At 38.5% G+C, this 10,157-nt stretch overlaps 1 long non-coding RNA gene across 1 annotated transcript; it reads right to left on the reverse strand.

The window, feature by feature from the left end:
• Positions 1 to 2,737: 2,737 nt before the first annotated feature.
• Positions 2,738 to 9,734, reverse strand: LOC105379525 (uncharacterized). The gene is made up of 2 exons (XR_951306.3): positions 9,580 to 9,734; positions 2,738 to 7,074 (listed from the first exon to the last, which is right to left on the reverse strand). It is a non-coding gene; the product is annotated as an uncharacterized LOC105379525 (long non-coding RNA).
• Positions 9,735 to 10,157: the final 423 nt, after the last annotated feature.

Genomic DNA, 10,157 nt, shown 5'->3' on the forward strand with positions numbered 1-10,157 from the left:
AGGATCCTCTTCCTCATCCACAGATCCAACAGCCGGTAACATTCCGGCCTACAGCACGTCCCTACCTCAGCTGAACCGCTGGGACCAACACGCCGTACCGCAGCCGCGCACGCCCAGCACGCCACTCCCGGCCTGGCCGGGGCCTGACGTCATCACATCGCGACGCTAGCTGATCCCGCCCGGATTACCTGGGCTCTGGACGAGAACTGCCTCGTCCCTTAGCCACACCCCCCGGGGAGGTGGGCTCTCCCCGACGACAGCTGGACACGCCCCTGGGCGTGTTCTGTGAACCTGAGCGACGCTGCGGAGAGTCCTTAGGGCGCACTAACCACCTGTCTGAAGGTGTCACTGGCGCCTAGAGCCTTAATAAGCTACTGGCTGTAGGTAGAGCTGAGGCCAGCCTGCTGGAAATCTGGAGTGGGTAGCCTGACCTAACCAGTTCCCACAGGGCATAGATTTTATCAACTTGATTTTTTAGTCTCGTTAAAAAAAAAAGTTTTAATTCATAGGGGAAAGAATGGAAGGTTATAACATTACAATTTTAATTGTAATTTTTATACCTGAAGGATAACCAGTGACAATTTTTTCTTTTTTTATTATTACATATTATATATGTAATTCCAAATTTTTAGTATTCATGCATCACTTTTATTTACTTTTTTCTCATTATTTATTTGGACCTCAGGTAACCTAAGTTCATTAATCATATTTGCTGGTGCATGACACTCTCATCACTAATCCATAGATAGCCCTTCTTTCTAATATAAATTTATAGTGAACTCCTTTGACCTCATTCCTAACATAAAAGCATTACCAGTAAGCTACACGTACCTATGTGCACCGCCCCCGCTTCCAATCCACAGCCTGCCCCATAAGATAGTAACAACAGTCATGAATTGGTTCTGGATTGCTGATCCTTCCCTGTTTTCTTTTTAGTTTTATCACATATCCCACGTATGTACTTAGAGAATATGTTGTTTAATTTTGGGTGTTTTTGAGCTTCATAAAATTATCCATATAATATATAAACTCCTGAGGCTTGCTATATTTTTCAGCATCACTGCTGTCTTGTATTCTATTGTGTGGCTACACGGCAATTTATTCATTTCCTCTCAATTGTTCCAGGTTTTGCTCTTATGAACAGGGCTGCTATGAACATTTTTCCTGACATATGTGTGTGCAACTTCCTCTTGAGTGTCTAAGAGTTGAATTGCTGGGTCCTAGATTATTCAAATGTTTTACTTCACAAGAAAATGCACAATTATTTTTCAAAATGTTTGTACAAATTGATACATTTTCCCAGCAAATTATAAGAGATCTCATTGGTCTGTATGTCAATATTATCAGGCATGCATTTTTCACCAATCAATTGAGTACAAAAGAAGACTTCATTGTGATCTTCATTTGCATTTCCTTGATTACTAACAAGGTTGAGAATCTTTTCATGTGTTTTGGCAATATGTAATTCTTAGAATGACCCTGTAGAGTGTTATCCCTCTTTCAAACATGAGGCACCAAGAGTTAAGTTACTTGTCCAGGTTAGGTCATAAAAATCTATCTGATGCACAAGTAGAATGTTTTACTACTATCCTGATGCCAAATAAAAGGTTGACTTTTCCTTCCTTCTCTGAAATTCCCCATAAAATATACTGTGTGTATTCCATTAGTTCTACTGATAAGTACATATAACTTGAAAGTATTTATCACGCCTTTTGCAGAACACAGTTAAGACAGAGGGTTTATATTTGTGCAAATGAGTATATTATATTCACACATACACTCGGTCTGAGAAATCAGGTCTTGAATGCTTTGCCAGCTTTGACAATGTAACCATGAACCAGCTGAGGAAGAAATAAGGCAAATACCTTAGGTGTGGTGGTTCAGTTCACTGTATTCTGCCAAAGGAGAGAAGCTGTGATGGGTAGCCCAAAATAGATAGCTTACGCCCTAAACACAATGGTTCATAAGCTTTTTCGTTTCAGGAATGCTATGAAGTATTGATTTTTTTGGCAACCTAAGGGAAGGAGTAACATTGCACCCACAGGCATCACACTATTTGCTTGATGTCCCTTCAGCACTGCATTACTGCCTGAATAGCAGCTATTACAGCCCTCACCATCTTCTTTGACATATTTTTAAAAGTACATTCTTGTGGGTTCCCAATATGGCACTGGCTGAATGTTATACTAAAATCCCTCTTTCTGTTTTTTGAGACAGGGTCTCACTCTGTCGCCCAGCATGGATTGCATTGGCACGATCACAGCTCACTGCAGTCCTAAACTCCTGGGCTCAAGTGATCCTCCCATCTCAGCCTCCCAAGTAGCTGGGACTCCAGTCATATGCCATTACATCTGGCTAATTTTTCTTTTTCTTTTTGGTAGAGACAGGGTCTCACTATGTTGTCCAGTCTGGTCTAAAGTCTCATCTCTAACAATGAACAACCTGTAACCTATGAGGCCAGCTCAGTCAAGTTGACCAAATAGCATTGTTGTAACAGTATGTAGCCTCAATGAGAGCAAAATAAGTTTTACACATTGGCCAAAAATTAAATGCACCACAAATATCTATCAACTGATAGACAACCAAAATGTGACAAATGGATAAACAAAATATGATCTATCCGTACAATGGAAAATTATTTGGCAATAAACAGGAAAAAGGACTGATACCTGCTACAAAATGAATCAATCTTGAAAACATTATGGTAAGTGAAAAAAGCTATTCACAAAAGACCACATGTTGTATGATTCCATTTATATAAAATAACCAAAATAGGCAAATCTATAGAGACAGAAAGTACATTAATGGTTCCCAGGAGTGGAGGACTGGGGAGAGACTACAGTGGTTTTTGGGCGGTGATGAAAATGTTCTAAAATTGATTATGGTGATGGTAGTACAACTCTGATTATACTGAAAACCATTGACTTGTACACTTTAAATTGGTGAATTGTATCATATGTGAAATTTATCTCAATAAAGCTGCTATTCTTAAAAGAAATAAACACCTATCTGTGCATCAAAATGGGGTGCCTGTGTGCATTTGTAGAGAAACACTGTCTTCAGCAGTTTCAAGTTCTGGCCTTAGGCACAAGTATAAAGATTACAGCTTGATAAAATTTTTCCTTTAGTCTGTTCCATATTCCTCTTCAGTTAAATTTTTATCTATGGATTCTGTGGAGTCCTGTCATTTTATTTTCTCAGATAGAGTTGTAATTTCAGTTCTCCCAAAATAGCTGGGCATGACTTTTTATTTTTATTTCTTTTTTCTTTTTGAGATGGAGTCTTGCTCTGTTGCCGAGGCTGGAGTGCAGTGGCACGATCTTGGCTCACTGCAACCTCTGCCTCCGGGTTCAAGCGATTCTCCTGCCTCAGCTTCCTGAGTAGCTGGGATTACAGGTATGCACCACCACCCCCAGCTAATTTTTGTATTTTTAGTAGAGACGAGGTTTCACCACGTTAGCCAGGCTGGTCTTGAACTCCTGACCTCCTGATCCATCCACCTCAGCCTCCTAAAGAGCTGGGATTACAGGCGTGAGCCACTGTGCCGGGCTTTTTTTTTTTTTTTAACTTATAAGAGGGTTAAATTGTTAAATTGTTAAATTGAAAATGCCTTTTTAAATAAGTATGAAATTTCTTAATTATAATATTTTAGAATCTATTACAGTTTCTGATGTATCTTAAAAATTCCTCCTCATCTAGCTTTGCTATTTTGTCTCATTTACTTTAGGGTAAAACAACAACAGCAACAACAATAATAATGTTTTGAGCCCCTAAGCATCTGATAGGCACTGTGTTAAGCACATTAAATGCATTATCCCATTTAACTCTCCAAGGTAAATACTATTTGTGTGCCCATTTTATAGATGAGGAAATTGAGGCTTAGAAAAGATAAATACCTTGCTCAAAGTCATACAATCAGTAAATGGCAGCCCTTGGGCTCAATCCAAACCTGCCTGACACTAAATCTCCTGCTCTTTTAAACCAGAAGATCTGCAAACTCTTCTGTAAAACTAGATGATAAATATCTTAGTCTTTACAGATCAAAAAGCAAATTTGAGGACATTGTGTAGGTACTTATATAATAAGAGAGAGAGCAAATGTCTACAAGTTTGAAATTTGAATTTCATGTATTAAACAAAATTATGAGAGGCCATTGTTTTGGACTGAGCTCCTGCACTAATCCCAAGCAGACCAGACCAAACCAAAATGGAGTCGCTCATGCTAAGCACCACAAAATCAAACTAAAACTTTAAAAAACAGGTCCCAAAATAGACGAGTTTTTTTTTTTCTTCTCCTGAAGACAGAAGATTCCAGTATAATAAGGAAGTCCCCTCTGCTCTATCCCTTACAGAAAAGTAACCCAAAGTAACAACAGATTACTTACAAAAAAGCAATCTCAGCCAGACACAGTGGCTCATGCCTGTAATCCCAGCGCTTTGGAAAGCCAGGGCGGGTGGATCACCTGAGGTCAGGAGCTTGAGATCAGCTTGGCCAACGTGGCAAAACCCCGTCTATACTAAAAATACAAAAATTAGCTGGGTGTGGTGGCACACGCCTGTAGTCCCAGCTACTTGGGAGGTTGAGGCAGAAGAATTGCTTGAACCCGAAAGGTGAGGTTGCAGTGAGCCAAGATTGTGCCACTGCACTCCATCCTGGGTGACAAAAAAATAAAAAAGTAATCTGATGTTAACCAATCAGTTTTTTTTTCTATACTGTTTCCTTGTTCCCACCTTACAAAATCCAGTGTTCTGCTATTTTCCAATGGGATTAGAGACCAAATAACTCTATTTATGATGATAAAAAGTGATGTCAGTGCCTAAAGTTTTGGGCAACCTCAAAATTAATCATCCTCTCAAAATTGACAGGTTGACCAAAAGGAGGAATTGTTAAATTCATTGTGGCCTAAAGCTGCCTCCTTACATAATTTAAGTTTACCCTAAAGGTTTCCCAGTACATAAAAAACTATATTTCAACTTGATATGTAAAACTTGATATGTAACCTACTCTTGTAACAAGTAGTGAGTCTCAGCCAATCACAGCAGCTGAACTTCAGCCAACCACAGGCAGCCAACTCTTCAAACCAGGTTCAAATAAGGCAAATGCTCAGCTGTAACCAACCCTACTCTGGTTCTGGGGGCTGCCTAATTCACAGATCATTCTTTACTCAATTAAACTCTAAAGTTTTCCTTTCAACATGTATAATTTTCACATCACGAAATAATAATCTTCTTTAATTTTTTTTCCAATGTATTAAAAATGTAAAAACCATTTGCAGGCTACACAATAAATGGTAGCAGGCTATAGATTCCCAACTCCTGATCTAAGCTAATATAATATACTGTTTTCTTAAGCAGAGTTAATGAAATTTTGCGAAATTGGATCCTCCTTGCTCTTTTAAACTCAGTTTGTAAATCACTCACCATTAAAACAATCCTGGACCCTCAAAGGGTTAGGTACCACTGTGCCAATTACCACAGTGCTAATATTCAGAGGAAGATCTGAAGCTGAGAAGCTTAAACTTTTTTCCCAAGGTCACTAATACCTGGCCTGGGAAAGACCTAATTAAGGTGAAACTTGAGTCTTTGCATTGTAGTAGGAGTCCTCCTAGGTGGAGCAGAGCAGAGCAGATAAGCTCTTAAACTGTCTGGATTTCAGCAGCTCAGCTTTCTGACAATAACCTTGCCATATGTCCTTTGGCACAATTCCCTACTAATTCCCTACTACTCCCCTTTGCTTGGTTCTTCTCTCTTGAATAGTTATGTTAATCACCATAAGAAAAAGAACTGTAGCTATATCCAAATAAGAAGAAAGCTAAAAATAATACCAACTTGGTTTTGTTTTTCGTTTTTTTCTTTCTCATTTTTGCAACTTCCTGCAAAGGAAACAACATACTAGTGGCCAGCAATAGCTACTGGTTTAGAGGAAAGGAAGCTGAGAGTTTCAAAATTAACCCAGTTCCTCTTATCTAGCTGTGGCAAGTAAATAAATAAAATATTTTTAAATGTTTAAAGTTTATCAGTTTATTTAACATTTTTCATTGGGTACACATGAACTTGTTGGGAACATATCTAAAAGGCCAGAGGTCAATGGCTTGTATTCTTGTGACTGCTTTGGTTAAGGTTGAATATCAATATTCAAGTGTCATATAGTCGTCTTTTAAGATATACAACCACTGTAAGGACAGGAAAGAATATTTCCTCTCCAGAATACTGAAGATGACTAGCAGGTGAAAAATGTACATTTCAATGTTTTTAGGGGCTGTGACATTAAAGGCTGTGAGTAACATTGTTTGAATTCATTATCTTTGGTGGTTAAACCATGCTATTAATAAGTCTTAGCTTACAGTTGAGTCACTTGTAAGTCAGCTTGCCATGAAATTAAAAAAAAAAAAGAAAACACCATTCAAAGCCCTCAAGCTGACAAGTTGAGTGGTGCACCAATCTCTCTAAAAGAAACTATATTTTAGATACTATAGGAGTGGTGGAATGACAGGAGTGGAGGTTGGGCAAAATGAAAAAAAATGTTTTGCAATGATGTATGGTGTAATAGTTTAGGAGAGAGTCTAAATAATTTCTTCCATTGTCATTAGAAATTTTAAATGGACATTTGTGGCTATAAGTTTCACTTTCTAATTTTTATAGTGTTAGAGAAGCATATTCCAAAATCCATAGGCACCTGCTCATAATTCCTTACACGTAAGTAAAAGGCATGAAACAAATGATCCATCTCCATTCTTCCTTCCCCTTTCTATTCCCTCGAAGAGTGTTTAATCATACTTAATTGAAATACCATGCTACTGGCAAAGCCAGGTCTTTCTGGCTTCAAGACCAGGGTCTTTTGAGTCCTATAGCTCCGTCCTTCAGTCATTGTCTTAGACCTTTTGTGCTGCTATAACAAAATATCCAATACAGGGTAATTTATAAATAATAAAAATTTATTTCTCACAGTTCTAGAGGCTATGAAGTCCAAAATCAACGTGCCAGGAAGTTTGTGTCTAGTGAGGGCTGGTCTCTGCTTCCAAGATGGTACCTCAAAAGCTGTGTCCTCCTGAGGGGATGAACACTGTGTGTTCACCTGGCAGAAGGAGACAGAAATAAGCTTTCACATTGTTTAAGTTTCTGTTTATGCCACTGAAACTAATCCTAACCAACTTATTTGATTAATTGTTTTTTAAATAATATAAGTAGGCTGTGCACAGTGGCTCATGCCTGTAATACAAGCACTTTGGGAGGCTGAGGGGAAAGGATCTCTTGAGGCCAGGAGTTCAAGGTCAACCTGGGCAACATAGCAAGACCCTGTTTCTACAAAAATTTTAAAACTTAGCTGGGCATGGTGGCATGCACCAGTAGTCCCAGCTACTCAGGAGGCTGAGGTGGGAGGATCACGCAAGCCTAGGAGTTTGAGGTTACAGTGAGCTATGATCACTGCACTGCACTCCAGCCTGGGTGAGAGAGAAAGACCTTGTTTCTTATTAAAATATATATAGACACACATATATATATATGTGTGTGTATGTGTATATATATAGTATTTATATATAAATTATGTATTATACCTGAATGTATTATAACTATAAAAAATTCAAACAGTAGAAAAGTATTAGGGTAAAACGTGGAGTATCTTTCACTAACCTCAATTTTACTTCCCTTCACCGATATTATATAAACACTGTGAGCAATTTAATAGACATAGGTCCAGATTTTTTTGGTCCAATATTACCTTTGCCCCTGCCATGTTAGGTATTTTTCTGTAGGAGAAGCAAGATTCCCTCCTGAAAGAATATTCCTGTTTAGACTAAGTCTTATGTATATGAATATATGTATTTGCATACATGTGCATTCATAAAATTATAACAGAAAGATAGAGTACATTTGTATACATATGTGGCTTTTGTTTTTAATAAATAGGAACATACATAGGCTTTGTTCTGGAGCTTGCTTTCTTCACTTGACAATATGCACTGATACTCTTTCCTTCTCACTAGAATTAGAAATACATCATTCATCATTTTTTTTTTTTTTTGAGACGAAGTTTTGCTCATGGTGTCCAGGCTGGAGTACAATGGTGCAGTCTTGGCTCACTGCAACCTCTGCCTCCAAGGTTCAGGCAATTCTCTTGCCTCAGCCTCCCAAGTAGCTGGGATTACAGGCACCCGCCACAACGCCTGGCTAATTTTTGTATTTTTAGTACAGATGGGGTTTCACCACATTGGCCAGGCTGGTCTTGAACTCCTGACATCAGATAATCCACCTGCCTCGGCCTCCCAAAGTGCTGGGATTACAGGTGTGAGCCACCATGCCAGACCATACATCACTCATTTTTTAAACCACTTCATGTTATTCCATAATAGAGATGTAACTATTTCATCATATCTTCAAAAGGGACATAAAGATTGACTAACTACCTCTTCAAAACATGCTCGAAAGTAAATTCAACATATTATCAAGAAATATAAGAAAGTAAGTTGATTAGCTTGTATGTTTAATAATAAACTTTATTCTTATTCTCCTTTGATATTTTAGACTGGTTAGCTTCGCTTATTAAATTAGTTTACTTCAGTTATGGAAATATCAAATTCAATATATTTTAATATTAATTTCTTATTAACAGTTCTGGTTACTTATAATTAATATGATTCTACCCATATGCTTTATTTTTATAGCAAACTCATATTTTGGATTGTGTATTGCTATCCATAAATTTACACATGTACTTTCATAATTTAATTGTGGTTAATGAGTTTTTGGCAGCAGTATACAATACACAGATTAAAATTAATTCTGAACTGATGCTAGAAGAAAGATGAGTTCACATATTGCATCTTGATAATAGTGCTGGTTTGTGCCTAAAGTATAGCTTAGCTATTCATATCCCTGGGTAATACCACTGGTAGGCCGGGTACGGTGGCTCACATCTGTAATCCCAGCACTTTGGGAGACCAAGACAGGTGGATCACCTGAGGTCAGGAGTTTGAGAACAGCCTGACCGACATGGTGCAACCGTGTCCCTACTAATAATACAAAAATCTGCCGAGTGTGATAGCACACTCCTGTAATCCCAGCTACTCGGGAGGCTGAGGCAGGAGAATCGCTTGAACCTAGGAGATGGAGGTTGCAGTGAGCCAAGATCATGCCATTGCATTCCTGCCTGGGCAATAACAGAGAAACTCCATCTCCAAAGGAAAAAAAAAGAAAAAAGAAACTTTTAGTAAGCAGAATATTATTAATCTATATGCTTTTACATCATAATGGTTCCTTTTACTTCATGTATTTTTGTTCATGAAATTCTGTAAATCATACAAGCTACAGATGGTGACAGCAGTAGAAATATAAATTTTAGCACACTTGTGTATGCATTAATATGTTCAAAATATATAAAGAAATGGTATTTATATAAATAAATACATATAATTATTTGATCATAATCAGAGGTTAACATGGGTTACCTTTTGGGGAGAGGAAACAGCAGAGGTGATATGGTTGGCAGACAAAGAGGGTATGGAGAAGTAATCTCCCACTGTATTAGTCTGTTTTCACATTGCTGGGCAATTTGCAAAAGAAAGAGGTTTATTGGACTTACAGTTCCACATGGCTGGAGAGGCCTCACAATCATGGCAGAAGGTGAAAGGCATGTCTCACCTGGAAGCAGACAAGAGAAGAGAGCTTGTGCAGGGAAACTCCCCTTTTCAAAACCATCAGATCTCATGAGACTTGTTCACTATCACAAAAACAGCATGAGAAAGGCCTGCCCCCATGATTCAGTTACCTCCCACCGGGTCCCTCCCACAATACATGGGAATCCAAGATGAGATTTGGGTGGGGACACAGCCAAACCATACCATTCCACCCCAGCCCCTCCCAAATCTCATGTTCTCACATTTTAAAATGAGTCATGGCTTCTCAACCGTCTCCCAAAGTCTTAATTCATTTCAGCATTAATTCATTTCAGTGTTAACTCAAAAGTCCACAGTCCAAAGTCCAAAGTCTCATCCGAGACAAGGCAAGTCCCTTCCACCTATGGGCCTGTAAAATCAAAAGCGAGTTAGTTACTTCCTAGATATAATGGAGGTACAGCATTAGTAAATACAGCCATCCCAAATGGGAGAAATTGGCCAAAACAAAGGGGATACAGGCCCCATGAAAGTCTGAAATCCAGTG

This window comes from Homo sapiens (genome assembly GCF_000001405.40).
Source record: "Homo sapiens chromosome 9 unlocalized genomic scaffold, GRCh38.p14 Primary Assembly HSCHR9_UNLOCALIZED_CTG2".
NCBI lineage: Eukaryota > Metazoa > Chordata > Mammalia > Primates > Hominidae > Homo > Homo sapiens.